The sequence below is a fragment of the Homo sapiens genome, chromosome 17 (assembly GCF_000001405.40).
Source record: "Homo sapiens chromosome 17, GRCh38.p14 Primary Assembly".
Taxonomy (NCBI): domain Eukaryota; kingdom Metazoa; phylum Chordata; class Mammalia; order Primates; family Hominidae; genus Homo; species Homo sapiens.
Window position 1 is genome coordinate 46997630 of NC_000017.11, and position 22525 is coordinate 47020154.

The following is a 22525-nucleotide window of genomic DNA, read 5'->3' on the forward strand; positions in this document are numbered from 1 at the left end:
CCAGACCGTGGGTAATATCTGCAGGATGCATGGTAGGGCTGGTTCAAGAATAAAGGAAGGCTAGGTGTGGTGGCTCACGCCTATAATCCCAGCACTTTGGAAGACCTAGGCAGGTAGATCATTTGAGGTTAGAAGTTTGAGACCAGCCTGGCCCAGATGGTGAAACCCCATCTCTATGAAAAATACAAAAATTTGCCGGGCATGGTGGCAGGTGCCTGTAATCCCAGCTACTCGGGAGGCTGAGGCAGGAGAATTGTTTGAACCCAGGAGGCAGAGGTTGCAGTGAGCTGAGATCGCACCACTGCACTCCAGCCTGGGCAACAAGAGTGAAACTCCATCTGAAAAAAAAAAAAAAAAAGAATAAACGGAAAAAGAGAAAGATGGAAGAGGAATCCATGGATTAAAAGATTTAAGAGACATCAACTAATCATATTGTGTGCATCTTATTTGGATCTTGATTTAATCAAAATGTTAGAAAATGCTTTCTGACATAAAACAGTTGGAAATTTGAACACTTACTGAATATATAACGATATTAAAGAATAATTGTTTTAAGAAACACAGAGAGAAATAATGAGTGACCAACACTTGATAAAGAAGAACCCAGCAGCCTATCTCTTATTAGAGAAGGCTACGGGGTATGCTGGGAGTCCTAATCCCGGCTCGGCCGTGAGTGTGCTGTGTATGTAGCCTTGGCTGAGCCCCTTTCCCTGCCTAGACCTTGGTTTTCCCATTTATGAAGTGAAGGAGGGGACCCAAGGGGCGTGTTTAACTCTGGCCTGCTTTTGCTTTGTCTTGTCACGTGCAGCCATGGATCCTTTAACTCGGGGCCTGTATCAACACCACCATGCGTCCACAAGAGTATAAAATGGGCAGAAGAGTGCTTGATGGGCACAAGCCCAGAGCTGTCGGCTTCTGCAGAACCCAGAACAGGAAGGGTCACCTCCCTGAGGCACCTGACCTGGAGAACCAACTGCATAATCCCAGGTAGGCCAGGTCAAAGCCAAGGGGAAGGAGAAACTGCTGGAGGACTTCCCCCCACAAAACATGGGCACGTGTTATCTGCTCACCAGGATGCTTCGACCTTGTTCTGATGCCTGGGGACTTCTGGTGAGTTCCCTGGCCATCCATCCTGGTCTGTTCACCTTCTCAGGACTCCAGTTGAGTTGGGCTGCGTGTGACAGACCCCTGTGAGTGCAAATGAACAATGTCACTGAATTGCTGCCTCACTGGCCCCTCAATTCCTTGTTGCTGGCCTCTGCCCACCTGCACTTCAGATACTGTCATCATGGAAGAATCATCCTTAGCACAGAAACTCACACACTGTAAATGCTCCATGTGAAGAGGTGAAGAGGTGGAGAGGGAACCTCCCTCCCAGACCATCATGGATGCTTAACATTCTCTTGAAGCCTGACGAGTTTTCTCCAGAAAGCTGAACTACAATACTCACCATCTGCTACCAACACCAACGAGTTCAACACATGAACTAAGTAATCGAGAAGGACACTTCCGTTTAATTAGGTACTATAGAGCAGTAGCAAGGCCCACACGTTAGTGTCAAATCTGGATGCAAATCCTTGCACTGCCTCCTACCAGCTCTGTGACTTTGGGCGTTTCTTAACCTCTCTGCAGCTTATTTATTAAGAATGCTGTGAAGATGAGATGACGCCCTTCATACAGTGTTTGGCATCGTGCCTGACCCACCAGAAGGGCTCAATGTGTGTCCACAGTTGCTTTTTTTCTTTGAGACTGGGTGTCCCTCTCATACCCAGGATGTAGTGCAATCATAGCTTACTGCAGCCTTGAACTCCCAGGCTCAAGGGATCCTCCTGCCTAAACCTCCCGAGTAGCTGGGACTACAGGCACACGCCACCATGCCTGGCTAATTTTTGTAATTTTTTGTAGAGACGGGGTCTTGCCATATTGCCCAGGCTGGCCTTGAACTCCTGGGCTCAAGTGATCCGCCCACCTTGGCCTCCCAAAGTGTTGGGATTACAGGCGTGAGCCACCATGCCAGGCCTGTTAGGCGTTTCTTAACCTCTCTGCATTTAGTTTCTTAACCACTCTTATTTAGTAAGAGTGCTGTCAGCCTGGAACTATAGCTCACGCCTATAATCCCAGCACTTTGGGAGGCTGAGGCAGGCAGATTACTTGAGGTCAGGAGTTTGAAACCAGCCTGGCCAACATAGTGGAACCCCTTCTCTACTAAAAATATAAAAATTAGCCGGGTGTGGTGGCGTGTGTCTGTAATCCCAGCTACTCAGGAGGCTGAGGCAGGAGAATCGCTTGAACCTGGGAGGTGGAGGTTGCAGTGGGCTGAGATCACGCCACTGCACTCCAGCCTGGGCAACAGAGGAAGACTCCATCTCAAAATAAAATAAAATAAAATAAAATAAAATAAAATAAAATAAAATAAAATAAAATAAAATAAAATTAAAATAAAATAAAAAATAAAATAAAATAAAATAAAATAAAATAAAATAAAATAAAATAAAATAAAATAAAATAGTGCTGTGAAGATGAGCTGGCTCCCTGCACAGAGTGTTCGGCATCATGCCTCACACACTGTGGTGGCTCAATGTATGTTGACAATTGCTTGTTTTTTGCTTTTTTTTTTTTTTTTGAGACAGAGTCCTGCTCTGCCACCCAGGCTGGAGTGCAGTGGTTCGATCTTGGCTCGCTGCAGCCTCCACCTCCCGGGTTTCAGCGATTCTCCTGCCTCAGCCTCCCAAGTAGCTGGGGTTACAGGTGTGCGCCACCATGCCTGGCTAATTTTTGTATTTTTAGTAGGGATGGGGTTCTGCCATGTTGGTCAGGCTGGTCTCGAACTCCTGAGCTCAAGTGATCTGCCCACCTTGGCCTCCCAAAGTGCTGGATTACAAGCCTGAGCCACCGTGCCCGGCCCACGATTACTTTTTTGGGGGAAGCTTCCATTGCAGCACCCCATGGGCACTCCACCATCATGTCTCTCTACTCCTCAATTGAACCTTCTCTCCTTTCCCTCTCTCCTATAAAAATGACCCTTCAGTAGGTCATTTTCTCACTGACATGCTAACTTATGACTTGCAGCATCTGATGATACAACTTTGACCTGCTTTATAATCGTGGGTTTCAGGCAAGGTGGGAGGCCTTCCAAAGTCACCTTGAGAACCACAACTCTTTGGTGCCATCTGCAATCCTCCATATCAGCCCTGCAGATAACAGGGAACTATGGCTGCTGCCTCCCTGGAGTAGGACATTCTTTTAAAAAGATCTGGGAGCACTTTAGGAGGTTGAGGCGGGTGGATCATGAGGTCAGGAGTTTGAGACCAGCCAGACCAATGTGGTAAAACCCCGTCTCTACTAAAAATACAAAAATTAGCCGGGCGGGGTGGTGGGCACCTGTCATCCCAGTTACTTGGGAGACTGAGGCAGAAGAACCGCTTGAACCTAGGAGGTGGAGGTTGCAGTGAGCCGAGATGGTGCCACAGAACTCCAGTCTGGGCGACCTTCCTGCACTCCCGGTGTTCGGGGACCAACAAGGCGTAATAAGGAGCCAGAGACCAAGGCCCAAGTCTCAGCTCTAACTGAGTATTATGGGGGTATTAATGTCCACCTCCCAGGATAGGGAGCACAGAGCAAGGAATACTAAGTATTGAAGCCCTGAAACGCCCACTTCCTGTACCTGAGTCGCTGCTGTCCTCTAGTGGCCACTGGATAAATTGCACAGCACGCCGGCCTGAAAAAGCGGAAGTGAGAGATGCTTTTCCCCACTTCTGAATCTACCAGATGCTGGGGGGTTCTCAACCATGCTCCACTCATGACTTCCTTTTTATAAAATGTATTTTGTGTAATTACAGTAATTTTTGAACATTTTAGGCAGATTTATTGAGGTATTGACATATAATAAACTGCCTAGAGATTACAATTTGATAATATCTGAGCCTTAGTATACAGCTGAAATCATTATCACAATCAAGATAGTGAAGAAAGCCATCCTCCCAAAAAATTTCCTTGTTGCCCCTTGGTGATCCTGCTTCCTGCCCTTTCTACTTCCCTCTCACCCCCAAGCAACTACTGATCTGCTTTCTTTCTCTTCTCTTTTTTCCTTTTTTTTTTTTTTTTTTTTTTTGAGATGGAGTTTCACTCTGTCACCAGGCCGGAGTGCAGTGGTGAGATCTCGGCTCACTGCAACCTCCGCCTCCCAGGTTCAACAGATTCTCCTGCCTCAGCCTCCCGAGTAGCTGGGACTACAGGCACCTGCCACCACGCCCAGCTAATTTGTGTATTTTTAGTACAAATGTTGTATTTGTATTTGTATTTAGTACAAATGTTGGCCAGGCTGGTCTTGAACTCCTCGCCTCAAGTGATCCGCCCACCTCGGCCCCCCAAAGTGCTGGGATTACGGGTGTGAGCCACCACGCCTGGTCCTGATCTGCTTTCTGTCATCATAGGTTAGTTTATATTTTCTAGTGCTTTCTAGACACGGAATCATACAGTGTGTATTTTTTTGGTCAGGTTTCTTTCACTCACCATAATTATTTTGAGATGTATCCATGTTGCTTTGTGTGCCAATAGTTCATTACTTTTTAAATGTTTAATTGTAGTTTTTGTGGGTACATAGTAAGGGTATGTATTTCTGGAATACCTGAGATGTTTTGATACAGGAATGCAATGCATAATAATCACATCATGGAAAGTGGGGTATCCAGCCCCTCAAGCATTTATCCTTTGTGTTACAAACAATCCAATTATACACTCTTAATTATTTTTATTTTTATTTTTTTTTTTTAGTTTTTGAGACAGCGTTTCACTCTTCTTGCCCAGGCTGGAGTGCAATGGCGCTATCTTGGCTCACTGCAACCTCCGCCTCCTGGGTTCAAGCATTTCTCCTGCCTCAGCCTCCCAAGTAGTTGAGATTACAGGCACGTGCCACTAGGCCCAGCTAATTTTGTATTTTTAGTAGAGACAGGGTTTCACCAGATTGGTCAGGCTGGTCTCAAACTCCTGACCTCAGGTGATCCACCTGCCTCGGCCTCCCAAAGTGCTGGGATTACAGGCATGAGCCACCACGCCTGGCCATTAGTTATTTTTAAATATACAATTAAATTATTATTGATTATTGCCAGCCTATTGTGCTCTCTAACACTAGGTCTTATTCATTCTTTTTTTTTTGTACCCATTAACCATCCCCACCTCCCCACATTACTTTTTATTGCTGAGTTCTGTTCCATTGTATGAATGTACCACAATTTGTTATTCATTCAGAATGATAGTAATTTTAAAAATCAATATAATGCCCTAACTAGAACATACAACAGAAACTAACTCAAAGACGAGTTCTGTATAAAAGCTCAAGGAAGCTGGGTGTGATGGTTCACAACTGTAATCCTAGCACCAAGGCAAGTGGATCACTTGAGGCCAGGAGCTCGAGACCAGCCTGGGCAACAGAGCCCCCCGACCCCCCCAACTTCTACAAATATTTTTAAAAATTAGCCAGGCTTGGTGGTCCAGGTCTGTAGTCCCAGCTACTCAGGAGGCTGAGGCAGGTAGATCACTTAAGGCCGGAAGGAAATTTGAGGCTTCAGTGAGTCGTGATGGTGCCACTGCACTCCAGCCTGGACAATAGAGACTCAAAAAAAAAAAAAAAAAAAAAAGCTCAGCCATGACCACCCTGACCCTGACCACTCTGGAACATACAATGATACAGTCGGGCACTTATATACTATACATGTACTAGCTGCGAGTACAGCCAGGCAGAGGTGGGGCAGATGAGCACATCAACTACTAGCACCACTGTCCTGGACATCACACAACAGGGGGGCAGGGCTGGGCTTTGAGCCCAGGTTTGTTTGGCTCTGAAGCCCAGTGGCTGGCCACTCCATGCAGGAGGGTACAGTGCTCTGTCGCCCAATGCATGGGGACTGGTGTTGAGCAGAGAAGATGGACATGGGCAGATTTTAGCTGGATGGAAGGATGCGTTTCTCACAGGGCTGACCATTGGGGTAGCATGTTCTTTTTTTAATTACGTGGATGGCGTGTTTGGGCTGGCTCACCCTGGGATTTCTCCCATCCAGCCATGACCCAGACTCATTCACTAAGGTCTATATTTGCCTTTTTTTTTTATTATACTTTAAGTTCTAGGGTACACGTGCACAATGTGCAGGTTTGTTACATATGTATATATGTGCCATGTTGGTGTGCTGCACCTATTAACTTGTCATTTACATTAGGTATACTGCCTAATGCTTTCCCTTCCCCCTTCCTCCACCCCACAACAGGCCCCGGTGTGTGATATTCCCCTTCCTGTGTCCATGTGTTCTCGTTGTTCAATTCCCACCTATGAGTGAGAACATGCAGTGTTTGGTTTTTTGTTCTTACGATAGTTTGCTGAGAATGATGGTTTCCAGCTTCATCCATGTCCCTACAAAGGACATGAACTTATCCTTTTTTATGGCTGCATAGTATTCCATGGCGTATATGTGCCACATTTTCTTAATCCAGTCTATCATTGATAGGCATTTGGGTTGGTTCCAAGTCTTTGCTATTGTGAATAGTGCCACAATAAACATACATGTGCATGCGCCTTTATAGCAGCATGATTTATAATCCTTTGGGTATATACCCAGTAATGGGATGGCTGTGTCAAATGGTATTTCTAGTTCTAGATCCTTAAGGAATCGCCACAGTGTCTTCCACAATGGTTGAACTAGTTTACCTTTTTAAAGGTATGTTTGTATTTCACTCACTTTGCATTTCACGGTAACCCAATCCAGGGGCTTTTCCCTGGCACTTCCCACAGCACAGACATATGCTCCTTCCTTGCCTGCTGCCCTCAGGGGCCAGCAGCAGGGGTGGCACTGCACAGTCCCACTGGGGGCCTCCCTCAGGGCAGAATATAATTTTATGGAAGAAAGTGTCTAGCAATGCTTTCTTGAGACAGGGTCTTGCTCTGTCACCCAGGCTGGGGAGTGCAGTGGTGCAATCATAGGTCACTGCAGCCTTGACCTCCTGTGCTCAAGTGATCCTCCCACCTCAGCCTTCCAGGTAGCTGGAACTATAGGCACACACCACTATGCCCCGCTAATTTACTTTATTTTTTGTAGAGACAGCGTCTCACTATGTTGCCCAGGCTGGTCTTGAACTCTTGTGCTCAAGGAATCCTCTCGCCTCAACCTCCCAAAGTGTTGGGATTATAGGCGTGAGCCACTGCACCTGGCCCATAGCAATGCTTTTGAGACAACAAGATTTTAAAACCTGCTACTGTAAGACAATCAGTCATATTTACCTTCTGGGGTAATTTACCTACTGTGTTATTACTGAAGGAGTCTCTTGGTTGGTGGTAACCCCTTAGCTTCAGAGTGGCCTGTCCTTGCAAGGAAACTTTGAAGAATTTAGTCCAATATTAGTGTTACAGAGAAGGACCCAAGGTCCATAGGAAGTGGAATGTAATACACAAGTTCTCCAGTCACTTCCTAACTCTGTTTTTAACATCTCACCCCAACAGTTTCCCCTGGATCCAAGTAAATGTGTAAGTCACGCTTTTATTCTTAAGCTTTGCTTCTTCCTGTTTTCCTTGGAAATGTTTTCCTCTGCTCCTTATAACTTTTTGTGTTGAATGCTCAGTTCATTTATTTTGTTTTATTTATTGGATTTTTGGTTTTGGTTTTTAGTCCCCTTTCCCCTCCTCTGTTGCTCACAGTGCAGACAACTTTGTGCAGTGGAAACAGTGCAGTCTTTGAGGCCCGAAAGTCTTTTGTTTTGATTCTTGGTTCAGCTTCCCGTGAGCAACTGTTAAGTCTGTTTTTTCGTATGTAAAAGGAAGGCAGTGATAGCCCTCTGCAGTGTTTTTTGAGGGTTAAATGGGATCGTGGTATGTAAGGAACATTGCGCAGTGCCTGATACATGGCAGATGCTCATCGGATTCCTGTCTCCTGATTGTTTCCCACCCTCCACATTTACAATGCCCACCTAGTTAATAAAACAAGCAAAACCTCATGGTTTCTTTTTTCTTTTGTGTCATTTATATTAGTACTTCTTGCTGTAATGTCACAGTGCACGAGCTGAGAGGTAAGTTGCCAGGAATAAGACGGGGACATAGCATAGAATAGCTATTAAAATGGGGGATTCTGGAGTCTGGCTGCTTCTTTCTGTCCCAGGCTTCTCCACAGACCAGCTGGATTAAGAAAATAGCATCAAAGCCTCAGGATCCTGCTATTTTGTTTTATTGGAACAAAAGCAGTTAAGACAATGAATTTACTTCTAAGTATAGCTTTGGTTAAATTGTAGACACTGATATGTAATGCTGTCTTTCTCATTGTTTTAGAAACCTGCTATTTAAAAATCTTTTTAATTTATTTTGTGAGACAAGATCTTGCTCTGTTGCAAACCCTGTCTCTACTAAAAATACAAAAATTAGCCAGGTGGGTGGCAGGCGCCTGTAATCCCAGCTACTTGGGAGCCTGAGGCAGGAGAATTGCTTGAACCCGAGAGAAGGAGGTTGTGGTGGGCCAAGATTGCACCATTGCACTCCAGCTCTGCAACAGAGCGAGACTCCATCTCGGAAAAAAAATTTTTTTTTCCCTCTGTTTTCTACAGCAGTTTATTTACAGAAGCATATTTTCCCAGTCCTGTCCTTCGAGCTGGCAAGAGGAGCCCCTGACTGGGCCCTGAAATTTAGAGAACTCTACATACAAAAAATAAAATAAATTAATTAATTAAGGACTGCAGGGCCGGGTGCAGTGGCTCATGTCTGTAAATCCTAGCACTTTGGGAGGCAGATCACCTGAAGTCAGGAGTTCGAGACCAGCCTCGCCAACATGACAAAACCCCGTCTCCACTAAAAATACAAAAATTAGCCAGGTGTGGTGGTGCATGCCTGTCATCCCAGCTACTCGGGAGGCTGAGGCATGAGAATTGTTTGAATCCGGGAGGCAGAGGTTGCAGTGAGCAGAGATCGCACCACTGCACTCCAGCCTGGGTGACAGAGCAAGACTCTGTCTCAAATAAATAAATAAAGGCCAACAGGATGCCTCTGCTAGTCTGGATCTGGTGCCTGGCATTGGCGCAGCACCACCTAACCCTATGCATCCTCTCTTGACTGACAATGTTCAGGCCCCAGAGACGTGCTTCTTCACACCTTATCTTCGGTCTATGGGAAAAATAACTACATCTAAATGTTGAATGGGGCCTCTGCCAGGCACTATTTTGAAAGTACACAGAAGCTGTGGGCAGAAAAGGACTTAGATAAAAGACAAGTTAATGTATCTACCAGATCTTTCCTCTCAGATAGTGTGAATACAATCGATTCAAACATTATGAAGTACCATTTCCGAATAGTGCTGAGAATACAATTTCTTCTTGTTTTTGTGCTCCTATTCATGGTTCCAGAGGTTCTCAAGAGTTAGCACAGTATTTGCCTCAGTTGCATAGAAGCTGAGGAAAAGTTTGCAGTATTAACCCTTTTCCCATTTAGGAAAAAAAGGGCAGCTCACTGCCAGTGCTCATTTAATTTTACAGAAACCTGCTCTTTGAGGCTGAAGCAAATCTGATTTTCTTTCTTTTTTTTCTTTCTCTTTTCTTTTCCTTCGACAGAGTCTTGCTCTGTTGCCGAGGCTGGAGTGCGGTGTTGTGATCTTGGCTCACTGCAACCTCCGCCTCCTGGGTTCAAGCAATTCTCCTGCCTCAGCCTCCCAAGTAGCTGGGATTACAGGTGCCTGCCAGCACAGCCAGCTAATTTTTGTATTTTTTAGTAGAGATGAGGTTTCACCATGTTGGCCAGGCTGGTCTGGAACTCTGACCTCAGGTGATCCACCTGCCTCTGCCTCCCAAAGTGCTGGGATTGCAGGCGTGAGCCACTGCGCCTGGCCGCAAATATGAATGGTTTTCAGTTTGAAAATAAAATATAAAAACTGCTATTGGAATTATTTCTAAACAGAACTAACATCAGAATCATCTGAATCATCAGAATAGTCTATTCTGGAAAATCAGATACATCAAATGAATCTTTGGCCAATAACTGTTCGAGAATGATGTTAGTATCACGTGTAGGAATGCTACATTTTCTAGGATTTGATATTTTCAGCTTGAACAATTAATGTATTTTGTAAATGGAAATCCCGCCACTAAAAACACAATGCTATAAATAGAATAATATTTTTTGTTTCCAAAGTGGATATACTAGAGTGATGCAAAAATAATAATAAAGCGAGATATTTTGTGGCAAAGTTACCTTGGGGAAAACGCCGCAGCTGCAGGTGCCACCAGTGAGTCTTCTCTGGGCAAATGAGAAAAGGATTAAATAAATCACATTACACATTACTCTTAAATTTGTATCTATGTCTAGCCCTCAGACAAACAGTGATGCTTATTCTTTGCATTGGCAATGAGGTGGTCATTGAATGCTAGAATTATGAATTTTAATTTCATAAAATTTAATTAAGTTTTCAAAAATCAAAATAAAATGGATTTATTTCAATCATTTTGATGTACAAATTTAATTAATTTTTTTTTTTTTTTTTGAGACAGAGTCTCACTCTGTTGCCCAGGCTGGAGTGCAATGGCGCAATCTCGGCTCACTGCAAGCTCTGTCTCCTGGGTTCATGCCATTCTCCTGCCTTAGCCTCCCGAGTAGCTGGGACTACAGGCACCCACCACCATGCCCGGCTAACTTTTTGTATTTTTTAGTAGAGACGGGGTTTCACCGTGTTAGCCAGGATGGTCTTGATCTCCTAACCTCGTGATCCGCCCGGCTTGGCCTCCCAAAGTGCTGGGATTACAGGTGTGAGCCACCACGCCTGGCCCAAATTTGATTAATTCCAATTTGTATGTTGCATATTGGTTTAATAGATACTTATTTTTTTTTTTTTGAGATGGAGTCTTGCTCTGTCGCTCAGGCTGGAGTGCAGTAGCACAATCTTGGCTCACTACAGCCTCCACCTCCCGGGTTCAAGCAATTCTTCTGCCTCAGCTTCCCAAGTAGCTGGGACTACAGGCATACCACCATGCCTGGCTAGTTTTTTTTTTTGTTTTGTTTTGTTTTTTGTATTTTTAGTAGAGATGGGGTTTCACAATATTGGCCAGGCTGGTCTCAAACTCCTGATCTCATAATCTGCCTGCCTTGGCCTCCCAAAGTGCTGGGATTATAGGCGTGAGCCACTGTGCCCAGCAATAGATACTTTTCAATATTTGAAAAGAATATTGTTTGAGATTCTGACAAAATTAAATTTTTTACATAAAAATATTTTTGATTAAAATATTAAGATATTTGTACTTTGAATATGACTGTTTTAATCCTTACATGTATTTTAAATCTTGACAATAATAACATAATTGATTTTGCTGAAAGGAAGATAAGAAAAATAAATTTCATGGAATACTTTCAGTAATTTATAAATTACACATTTCTTTATTTTATTACTCGCTTCAATATGAGGAATTGCTTGAACCTGGGAGGCAGAGGCTGCAGTGAACTGAGATCACATCACTGCACTCCAACTGGGGCAACAGAGTGATATTCCATCTCAAAAAAAAAAAAGCAAAGAAATTGTATGATCTTTGACATTTTGCTAACTTTCTGTTATCTACAAATCATAGCTTCATACACATCTAAAAAATTTTATCCTTTTAAAGGAATATTTGTCAGGGGCTGAGGCTAGAATATACTTTATTTAACACCCTGTTAGTTTAATTTATAACTTGCAAATATTTAGACAGACGGCCTGTGGCATCCATCTGTCCTCTTGCCCTGAGCCGCACATCCAGACTTGACTCATGGGCCCCAGCTTGGCTTTTCCAGTTCTTTGAATGGATAGGAATCTACCCAGAGCTCATGTTTGTCATAGCTGGGGAGCTGGGGGTGGAGGGTCCCTCTGGTCCCCCTTTGAATGCTGCAGACACCATCTTCTCTCAGATTTTAAGCTGCAGAGACCAAATTTCCAGCATGTGGTCCTGAGCTATGGAAACTTCTCCTCCTGCCCAGGACTCTCACTCTACAGAGACGCATTCATTCAGGTCCCTGAAGCCCCTGTAGAGTTTTGGCCATAAATGGTTCCTCATAAAGTGGTGCCCCCAGGAGCTCAGCCTCCGCCCCCACGCCCCGGCAGGCCTCCTGTCCCAGGGCGCCATGTGCTGCTGCCCTGCTGGGATGAGAAGTCTGGAGGGCACGGGGCAGCATTGCCCACTTAGAAGTCCCTTGTACTTTCTTTCTGCCAGATGCTGCCGCGCTGTTTCGGAGGGAAGAGTGGGCCAGCAGTAACAAAATGTTTCCTCCCTTGCACCTTTTTCGCTACAGTTGGTAGAAACTTCTCCCAGACTTCCTTGGTGACTAATGGTGTTGGGATGTTGTGGCCTTCGCCGGGAGGGGACAAGTTGTCAGCTCACAGTTTCACAGATGGTTGACCGATGCTGACTGTAGCTGGCAGGTCTCTTTTGGCTGCAAGTGACAGAAACCCAACTCAAACTTGTTCGCAAGTAGGGACATTTATTGTTTCTCAGAATTGAAGGAAGGGGAAGGGTGAGTCTGGGTCCCAGAAGGGGTGGACCGTGGGATTGGAATCCCATCCAGACTCCACTCCCTCTTCACAGAAGCTTAGCGCCTCAGATGGGCTGTGTCCTCTGGCCCCGCACACATGGGCTTCCTGTTGGGAGCTGAGCAGCTCCACCAGCTTCCACTTGCAAATGTAGCGACTGGTGCACAAGTGTTCCTATGCATATGGGGGGTGACAGGAGGCAGGGCCCTGGGACTGGCAGCCCCTGCCTAAAACCCCATGAGAGAAGGAGTTCCCCCAAAGGTGGTGCTGTTCCCAGAAAGGAAGGGAACAGCCCGTGCTCTCCACCCTGTCCTGCTTGGCCATTTTCTTCACAGATGTCACCTGTCCTTCCAGGCACAGCTGCTATTTCTGCCTGATGCTTGGCCAGTTTGCATGGTTAAAACCAGCATATTTCCAGGAGATGGATAATGTCACAGAACTGGGGTTCCAGAAGGCTGGGGTGGTCCAGCACTCCCACCTTCTTTAGAACATGGAGAGCTGTTAGTTGGGCAGGGCTGAAGCTTAGGTGGCGAGGAACAGGAGGCTCCTACTGCAGACAGCCTTGTTCTTCGGATCCTCCCAGAAATCCCTAGGCCACCTGGAACCCGGGGTCAGAGAGGGATGGGAGAGAAGTAGGCTATGAAAGGGGGTGGGAACACACCTTCTGGAACCACTGTCTTCCTTGAGAAAACCCCGAGAGGGGGCGTAATGGGCAGGGATGGACCTTCCTCCTTCCCGAGGCTCAGTGACACTTATCTCTGAGGGACCCTCCTGAGGCAGTGTGGGGTGGATTGTTGTTTGTCCGAAATTCTGGGATCTTGTAAATTTTATTTGCTAAATTTTATCAGCTCTAGGGGTAGGAGGATGAGAGGAGCAAAAGAATGGTCCCAAGCTCAGGCTGGTGTGGAGTGAGTCTTAGACAGAAAAAGAGACCAGAGAGGAAACAAGCCCACAAGGGTAGCCATCCTGTCCAACCGGAAGCCGCCTGACACTTGAAGGCGATGGATGGAAGAACTCAGCCCTCTGCCTCCTTAGCAACATACACCTACTTTAAGGGGAAAGACACACCTTCCCTCAGTGACAGAAACAGCCCCAGATTTTCAGATTTATCAAAAGTATATTTTTTCCAGGATGGGTGTAGTGGCTTACACCTGTAATCCCAGCACTTTGGGAGGCAAGGTGGGTAGATCACTTGAGATCAGGAGTTTGAGACCAGTCTGGCCAACATGGTGAAACCCCATCTCTACTAAAAATACAAAAATTAGCCAGGTGTGGTGGTGGGTGCCTGCAATCTCAGCTACTTGGGAAGCTGTGGCAGCAGAATCGCTTGAGCCTGGGAGGTGGTGGAGGGTGAAGTGAGCTGAGATTCTACCACTGTACTCCAGCCTGGGTGACAAAGCTAGACTCTGTTTCAAAAAAAAAAAAAAAGTTGTTTTTTTTTTTTTAATGTGGAGATGAGGTCTTGGTATGTTTCCAAGGTTGGTCTGAAACTCCTGGCCTTAAGCGATCCTCCCACCTCAGGCTCCCAAAGTGCTGGGATTACAGACATGAGCCACCACGCCAGGCCAGCCTTTCAGTTTTCATGGCATTGGCCATTTTGAGCAATACAGACCAGTAATTTTAAAGATTTTCAGTGAGTTCAACTCTGATGTTTCCTCAGGATTAGACACAGGCTATGCATCCCTGGATAGAATACTACATAAATGATGTGTCCTCCCTGGGAATCACATCTTGGGGGCACACACTCTCTCTCTGTCCCTCACTGGAGATGTTAATTTTGATTGCAAGATCAAAAAATGTCTGGTTATCCATTGTATAGTTACTGATTTTTTTCTATGCAATGAATAAACAATCTCTGGGGAGACCCTATAAGATCGTGGACATATCCAGTTCTTCAGCAGGCTTCCCACCACCTCAGATTTAGCATCCGATGATGATTCTTGCTGAAATCAATCTATGATGGTTGAAAAATGATTATTATTTTCCAACTTCATGACTTCTTCCACATTTATCAGTCAACCTTTTATTGTCAGGAAGAGGTTTCCAATTCAGCTCCACACTATGTATCTTTTTGTCAATTTATTATTATTATGGGCTCATGAATTCCTATTCCATTCAATGTATAATCTGTTACTATCATCTATTTTGATGGTCTAATAGTCCCAGATTACCTTGGAAACCATTATGCAATGATTTCTTAGATATGACACCAAAAGCACATGCAACAAAAGGAAAAATAGATAAATTGCATATCATCAAAATTAAAAACTTTGGGGCTTCAAAGAACACCACCAAGAAAGTGAAAGGCAACCCACAGAATGGGAAAAAATATCTGCCATATATCTGCTGCTGGTCTAGTATCCAGAATATATAAAGAACACTTCCAACTCAGTAATAAAAAGAAAACTCAATTTTAAACTGGGCAAAAGTTTGGGAAAATAGCTATTTTCCCAAAGATATACAATGGCCAATAAGCACATGAAAGTAAAATCAACATTCATAACCATCCAGGAAATGCAAATCAAAACCACAAAATGATACCAGTTCACACCCACTAGGAGAACTTTTGTCAAGAAGACAGACAATAACAAATATTGGTGAAGATGTAGAGAAGTTAGAACCTTCATATACTGTTGATGGGAATGCAAAATGATGCAGTCACTTTGGAAATCTGGTAGGCCTCAAAAGCTTAAACCTAGGGTTACCCCATGACCCAGCAACTCTACTCCAAAGAAATGAAAACATATATCCACACAAAAACTTATACGTGAATGTCCATGGCAGCATTATTCACGATAGCCAAAAATAGAAATAACCCAGATGTCCATCAACTGATGAATGGATAGACAAAATATGGTCTATTCATACAATGGAATATTATTCAACCATAGAAAGGAATAAAGTATCATTATGCGCTCCAGCCTGAATGAACCTTGAAAACATTAAGTGAAAGAAGCCAGATACAAAATGCCATGTTTTATGTAACTCCATGTATATGAAATGTCCAGAGTAGGCAAATCCATAGAGACAGAAAGTAGACTAGTGGTTGCCAGGCATTGGGAGGAGCGGGGTGGGCAGTAACTGCTAAATGGGGTTTTGTTTTAGATTGGTGAAAATATTCTAAAACTGAGTGAGGTGGTAGTTGCATAACTCTGCAAATATACTAAAAACCATTGAATTGTACACGTTAATGGAATTAATTCTATGATACATGAATTATATCTCAATAAAGCTGTTACCAAAAAATATTGTCCAAGATCTGGCCAGTCAGTGCCTCTTTGAGCTAGCTCTTGTGTCCATTTGACATGCCCCAATCCATACTTTGAGCATTTTTAAAATTTCTGGTACAACAAGAATCCAGACTGATCTCATAACCCTTTCCTGCTACAGCCTGGGAATCAGCCACATTCCCTAGAGTCGTGGTTCCCTGTTGTGTGGAATGTGAACCAAGATCTGGCCATTATTTCATTTAATCATCACATCTTATTTTCTGCTTTTAGAAACCAAAAGAATGTCTCATTGTGGGGTGCGACCAGTATATGCAGGAAGTTTTAGAATGAAAAAGATTCTGAATTGATCCTTGCTAACTTTATTTCAGAAAGTGGTAAAATAGCTGTGGAGTATGACCCAGTGAAGAGATTGTAAATATCAGATGGGAAAAAGAACTACACAGTTTAATTCAAGTATGTGGAGATAAAAACTCAAGAGTAACAGGGCTGGGCGCGGTGGCTCACACCTGTAATGCCAGTGCTTTGGGAGGCCAAGGCAGGCAGATCACCTGAGGTCGGGAGTTCAAGACCAGCCTGACCAACATGGAGAAATGGTGGCACATGCATCCCAGCTACTCAGGAGGCTGAGGCAGGAGAATCGCTTGAACCCGGGAGGCGGAGGTTGCAGTGAGCCCAGATCATGCCATTGCACTCCAGCCTGGGCAACAAGAGTGAGACTCCATCTCAAAAAACAAACAAACAGGCCAGGTGCAGTGGCTCATGCCTGTAATCCCAGCACTTTGGGAGGCCAAGGTGGGCGGATCATGAGGTCAGGAGTTCAAGACCAGCCTGGCCAACATGGTGAAACCCCGTCTCTACTAAAAATACAAAAATTAGCTGGGTGTGGTGGCGGGCACCTGTAATCCCAGCTACTTGGGAAGCTGAGGCATGAAAATCGCTTGAACCCAGGAGGTGGAGGTTGCAGTGAGCCAAGATCATGCCACTGCACTCCAGCCTGGATGACAGAGCAAGACTCCATCTCGAGAAAAAAAAAAAAAAAAGAAAAAAGAAAAACAACTCAAGGGTCGGATAACATAGCCAGTGTAACCATAATTCAAAACAAGCAGCAGAATTTGGAGGATAATTTGTTTCATTCTCAGGAAAATGTGAAACTCTGAAACTGCTTTCTGAGTGCAGGGTATTTCTGGGGCTTTTCCTAAAGTCTTGACCCTTGGCTCTGACCCCTTATTTGAAGTTTGGAGAGCAGAACTGAGGATTGTATTACTACAGTTGTGGACACAGGAGAGGGGTTAGTCTCCCCCCGCTCCAGGAGTAAGGGATGCTGGGCTGCTCGAACACAGGCCTTGTTAGAACTCCCTTCAAACAGGATCCCAGAGATGTGGGGAGAAGGTAACTGGCCTTAAGAATGATTGCGCTACAGCTTTCAAAAACTATAATGCCTTTCAAATATGGCTTATTGCTTGGATCTCAATATCTCCCACGTATCTTGGGTGGAATATTTTGCCGAAGATCTTTCTGTCAATCATTTACAATCATGTGCTGCAAAATGAAGTTTGGGTCAACAGTAGACCACATATATGATGGTGGTTCCGTAAGCGTATAATGGAGCTATCCCTATATAGGTATACCATTTTTATCTTTTTTTTTTTTTTTTTTTGAGATGGAGTCTCACTCCGTTGTCCAGGCTGGAGTGCAGTGGTACGATCTCAGCTCATTGCAACCTCCACCTCCCGGGTTCAAGTGATTCTCCTACCTCAGCCTCCTGAGTAGCTGGGATTATAGACACGCGTCACCACACTCAGCTAATTTTTGTATTTTTAGTAGAGATGGGGTTTCACCACGTTGGCCAGGCTGGTCTTGAACTCCTGAGCTCAAGTGATCCACCCACCTTGGCGTCCCAAAGTGCTGGGATTACAGGCATGAGCCACTGCGCCCAGGCCCCATTTTTGTCTTTTACACAGTATTTTAACTATATATTTTCCATGTTTACATACACAAATACCTGCCATTGTGTGACAGTTGCCTTTAGTATTCAGTACAGTAACATAAAGTACAGGTTTGTAGCCTAGGAGTCCTAAGCCATACCGTGTACCCTAGGTATGGTGGCTACACCACCTAGGTTTGTGTAAGTATATGCTATGATGTTAGCACAATGGTGAAATCACCTAGTGACGCATTTCTCAAGCTCCTCACGTGGCAAGCAATGCATGACTGCATATGAAAGCTCTTAAATAGGGATTGTTTCTAAATTAATCTCAAAACAGTCATTATTTACTATTTATGGAAACTTTTTTAAAAAAAGGAGCAAAAGTATCATTTCAGTGGGAACTTAACTTGGGGCTACAGTGTTTTATTTAACTTTTACCCCAAAGTTGCAAAGTGTTTTGAAATTTTTCCCTGTAAAATAATAATTTTAATTCAATTTAAATAAAACCCACCAAGGAGACTTCAAGCTTTAAGAAGTCTAGCTTCCTGTGAAATGTGAGAGGAAGTCAGCACTCATTTCAGAAATCTGATTATAACAATAGCTCCATCCCTAAATGAGGTGAATCTTGGAATCTCTTCCATTTTATTTATTTTATTTTATTTTTTTGAGATGGAGTTTCTCTCTTGTTGCCCAGGCTGAAGTGCAATGTTGCGATCTCGGCTCACTGCAACCTCTGCCTCCCAGGTTCAAGCGATTCTCCTGCTTTGGCCTCCTGAGTAGCTGGGATTGCAGGTATGCACCACCACACATGGCTAATTTTTGTATTTTTAGTAGAGATGGAGTTTCACCATGTTGGTCAGGCTGGTCTCGAACTTCTGACCTCAGTGATCCCCCCACCTCGGCCTCCCAAAGTTCTGGGATTATGGGTGTGAGCCACCACACCCGGCCCCCCTTCAATTTTAAAGCCATCACTATGCACCCTATGCCTATGCCAGGCACTGGAATAAGATGAAGCACCTTCTTGGAGTTTACATGCTGGTAATTATGCCAGACAGTAATAAAATAGGTAAGAACGGCTGTGGGGGAAGTCAGCTGGGTTCTAGTTACAGTCGCATTTCAGGAAATGATTTAACATGCTGACTTTAACAACCTAAGCCTCTTCTCCATGTGTGCACACAGGGTAGATCTCTGAACACAGGTGACCCTAGAAGTGCTGTAACTTCTAGGGGAATGGCTGTGTTGAGTCAAGGCAGGATGACAGTTCAGCCTCCTCCCAGGCTAGTGCAAAGGGCTCTTCACTCGGATTAAAACCTTCTCTCCCAGACCGAATTGCCAACTCCCAACACCCCTCCTACAGAAAATTTGGAGTCCTCGCTTATTCCCTGGCAGCCCCTACCTAATAGGGTGGTGAATTAATTATCAAACATGCGACAGTTTAGCGAAAATGGCAACACTTTGGAATAAATGACTGTAATGTGCATCCTGGCGCCCATTTTGCAGGTCAGTTGCTCTCCCTGGAAGGAAGAGTGTTCTCGGATTTCACCTTAAAGGAGGAAGGCTGCCAGAACTGAACTAGCACTTCTGAATATCCTGAGGCGAGGTCCGGTGACTTCCTTGGGAAGCTCTGCCGCGCCCCCATCCCACCCTACCCCACCCTACCCCACCACAGCAGGCGCTGGAGTCCTGGGACCACCAGGGTCTGAGGCCCAAATCCTTCCTCACTAAGGGGAGGAGAGGGGTGTTCCGGCAGGGCAGGATGGGAAGGCGTGCTTGGGCGGGATTGTGACATAAGAGTGCCCTGGTGACATGGAGCAGATCTGTGGCATAAATACAGGTGTCATAAAGACAGGGCGGGACTCACGCTTACAAGGGGCACGAGTGTCTCGGAGCTGCCAGAATGACTTCCGCTCAGTGCCCGGCACTAGCGTGTGTCATGTCCCGGCTGCGTTTCTGGGGCCCATGGCCCCTCCTTATGTGGCAACTATTGTGGCTACTAGTCAAGGAGGCTCAGCCTCTGGAGTGGGTCAAGGACCCGCTCCAGCTGACCTCTAACCCCCTGGGGCCGCCTGAGCCCTGGTCTTCCCACTCCTCCCATTTCCCACGGGAATCTCCCCATGCGCCTACTCTCCCAGCAGACCCGTGGGACTTTGATCACCTGGGGCCCTCTGCTTCCTCAGAGATGCCAGCCCCACCCCAGGAATCGACTGAAAATTTGGTTCCATTCCTGGACACCTGGGATTCAGCTGGAGAGCTGCCCCTGGAGCCAGAGCAGTTCTTGGCTTCACAGCAGGATTTAAAGGACAAGCTGAGTCCACAGGAAAGGCTCCCTGTTTCACCCAAGAAGCTGAAGAAAGATCCAGCTCAGCGTTGGAGCCTTGCTGAGATTATTGGAATTATACGCCAATTATCCACACCTCATAGTCAGAAACAGAATTTGCAGAATGAATATTCCAGTACAGATACACCGTATCCCGGTAGCCTGCCTCCAGAACTCCGGGTGAAGTCAGATGAGCCTCCAGGGCCCTCTGAGCAAGTTGGACCTTCTCAATTCCATCTAGAGCCCGAAACTCAAAATCCAGAGACCCTTGAAGACATCCAGTCCTCTTCACTCCAACAAGAAGCCCCAGCACAGCTTCCACAGCTCCTTGAGGAAGAACCTTCTTCAATGCAGCAGGAGGCCCCAGCTCTGCCTCCAGAGTCCTCTATGGAGAGTCTAACTCTACCGAATCATGAGGTGTCAGTTCAACCTCCAGGTGAGGATCAAGCTTATTATCACTTGCCCAACATTACAGTTAAACCTGCAGATGTGGAGGTTACCATAACTTCAGAGCCTACCAATGAGACAGAATCTTCCCAAACCCAGCAGGAGACCCCAATTCAGTTTCCAGAGGAGGTGGAACCTTCTGCAACCCAACAGGAGGCCCCAATTGAGCCTCCAGTTCCTCCTATGGAGCATGAACTTTCCATCAGTGAGCAGCAGCAGCCAGTTCAGCCTTCTGAGTCTTCTGGGGAGGTCGAATCTTCTCTGACCCAGCAGGAGACCCCAGGTCAGCCTCTAGAACATCATGAAGTCACAGTTTCACCTCCAGGTCACCATCAAACTCATCATTTAGATTCACCCAGTGTCTCTGTGAAGCCTCCAGACGTGCAGCTCACCATAGCAGCAGAGCCTAGTGCAGAGGTGGGAAATTCTTTAGTCCACCAGCAGGCTACAGCTCAGCTCTCAGGGTCAGGTAATGATGTAGAACCTCCCACCATCCAGCACGGGGGCCCACATCTGCTTCCAGAGTCATCGGAAGAAGCTGGACCTTTAGCAGTTCAACAGGAGACTTCATTTCAGTCTCCGGAACCTATTAATAATGAGAACCCCTCTCCAACCCAGCAGGAGGCTGCAGCTGAGCATCCACAGACCGCTGAGGAGGGTGAATCTTCCCTAACCCATCAGGAGGCCCCAGCTCAGACTCCAGAGTTTCCTAATGTAGTTGTAGCTCAACCTCCAGAGCATTCACCCCTGACTCAAGCCGCAGTTCAACCTTTGGATCTGGGGTTTACCATCACTCCAGAATCCATGACAGAGGTTGAACTTTCTCCAACCATGAAGGAGACCCCAACTCAGCCTCCTAAGAAAGTTGTACCCCAACTTCGAATATATCAAGGGGTAACAAATCCAACACCAGGTCAGGATCAAGCTCAGCATCCAGTGTCACCCAGCGTTACAGTTCAACTTTTGGACCTGGGACTTACCATCACTCCAGAACCCACTACGGAGGTTGGACATTCTACACCCCCGAAGAGGACTATAGTTTCTCCAAAGCATCCTGAGGTGACACTTCCACATCCAGACCAGGTTCAGACTCAGCATTCACACCTGACTCGAGCCACAGTTCAACCTTTGGACCTGGGGTTTACCATCACTCCAAAATCCATGACAGAGGTTGAACCTTCTACAGCCCTGATGACTACAGCTCCTCCTCCAGGACACCCTGAGGTGACACTTCCACCTTCAGACAAGGGTCAGGCTCAGCATTCACACCTGACTCAAGCCACCGTTCAACCTCTGGACCTGGAGCTTACCATAACTACAATACCTACTACAGAGGTTAAACCATCTCCAACCACGGAGGAGACCTCAACTCAGCCTCCAGACCTAGGGCTTGCCATAACTCCAGAGCCCACTACAGAGATTGGACATTCTACAGCCCTGGAGAAGACTACAGCTCCTCATCCAGATCAGCTTCAGACTCTGCATCGAAAACTGACTGAAGTCACAGGTCCACCTACTGTGCTAGAACCTAGTCAGGATTCATTGGTGCAGTCTGAAAGTTACATCCAAGATAAGGCTTTAACTGCACCAGAGGAACAGAAGGCCTCCACAAGCACCAACATATGTGAGCTCTGTACCTGCGGAGATGAGATGTTGTCATGTATTGATCTCAACCCAGAGCAGAGGCTCCGCAAGTGCCTGTGCCAGAGCCCAACACCCACAATGGCACCTTCACCATCTTGTAAGAATCACCTTTCCTCAATTGCCCTCTGTGTCCTGCCTGACATGGCAGCCTTTTCCTGGAGGCCTTCCTGGGCCTTCTTTATCTCCCCAAGCCATATGGACAACTGACTTTCTGCTTTCACCTTTGCTTGTCAACTCTCCCTTCTCCTCATTCTCCTTTAATGTTAGGCCCCTTCTCCAGTCTTTTCCTTTTACTCTGGTCTTTTACTCGTTTTCGTATCCATTTTTATTTAGCCCCATCACATCATTGCTTAACCGCTGCTCTCCTCCCATTTTTGCTTCACCCTCTTTACAGCAGCCTGTCCCTCTCCCGATCTCAGTGATGATGCTCTAAGTGGTTAAGAGTTGATTC

The 22525-nt window shown here is 45.6% G+C and overlaps 1 protein-coding gene, 1 long non-coding RNA gene and 1 pseudogene across 43 annotated transcripts in view, besides 1 other annotated feature; 2 read left to right on the top strand and 1 right to left on the bottom strand.

The window, feature by feature from the left end:
• The window catches only part of LRRC37A2 (leucine rich repeat containing 37 member A2), a 676337-nt gene that overhangs the window by 624838 nt on the left and 28974 nt on the right, over positions 1-22525 (top strand). The gene's annotated exons all lie outside the window — the stretch shown is intronic.
• LOC101927060 (uncharacterized) overlaps positions 1-22525 on the bottom strand; it is a 117500-nt gene that overhangs the window by 14844 nt on the left and 80131 nt on the right. For 13 of the 42 annotated variants that reach the window (XR_007065805.1, XR_243711.6, XR_007065812.1 and 10 more), the window contains 2 exons: positions 10211-10255; positions 1071-1188 (listed from right to left, as the gene is read on the bottom strand). The exons of 3 other annotated variants lie outside the window; for them this stretch is intronic. This is a non-coding gene — a long non-coding RNA (uncharacterized LOC101927060). Of the gene's footprint in view, positions 1-432; positions 916-1070; positions 1189-3664; positions 3719-7058; positions 8156-8771; positions 8790-10210; positions 10256-11363; positions 12413-12440; positions 13108-20094; positions 20837-22525 lie in introns of those variants that run through there. 26 more of the 42 variants (XR_007065804.1, XR_007065806.1, XR_007065801.1 and 23 more) reach the window with 14 other exon arrangements.
• Positions 7574-7868: a silencer, noted in NCBI's record as "tiled region #6393; HepG2 Repressive non-DNase unmatched - State 23:Low". NCBI's record gives its function as "represses a minimal TATA promoter and a strong SV40 promoter by Sharpr-MPRA in HepG2 cells {active_cell/tissue: HepG2}" and the evidence as "EXISTENCE:reporter gene assay evidence [ECO:0000049][PMID:27701403]".
• Positions 19561-22525, top strand: part of LRRC37A17P (leucine rich repeat containing 37 member A17, pseudogene) — a 37223-nt pseudogene continuing 34258 nt past the window's right edge.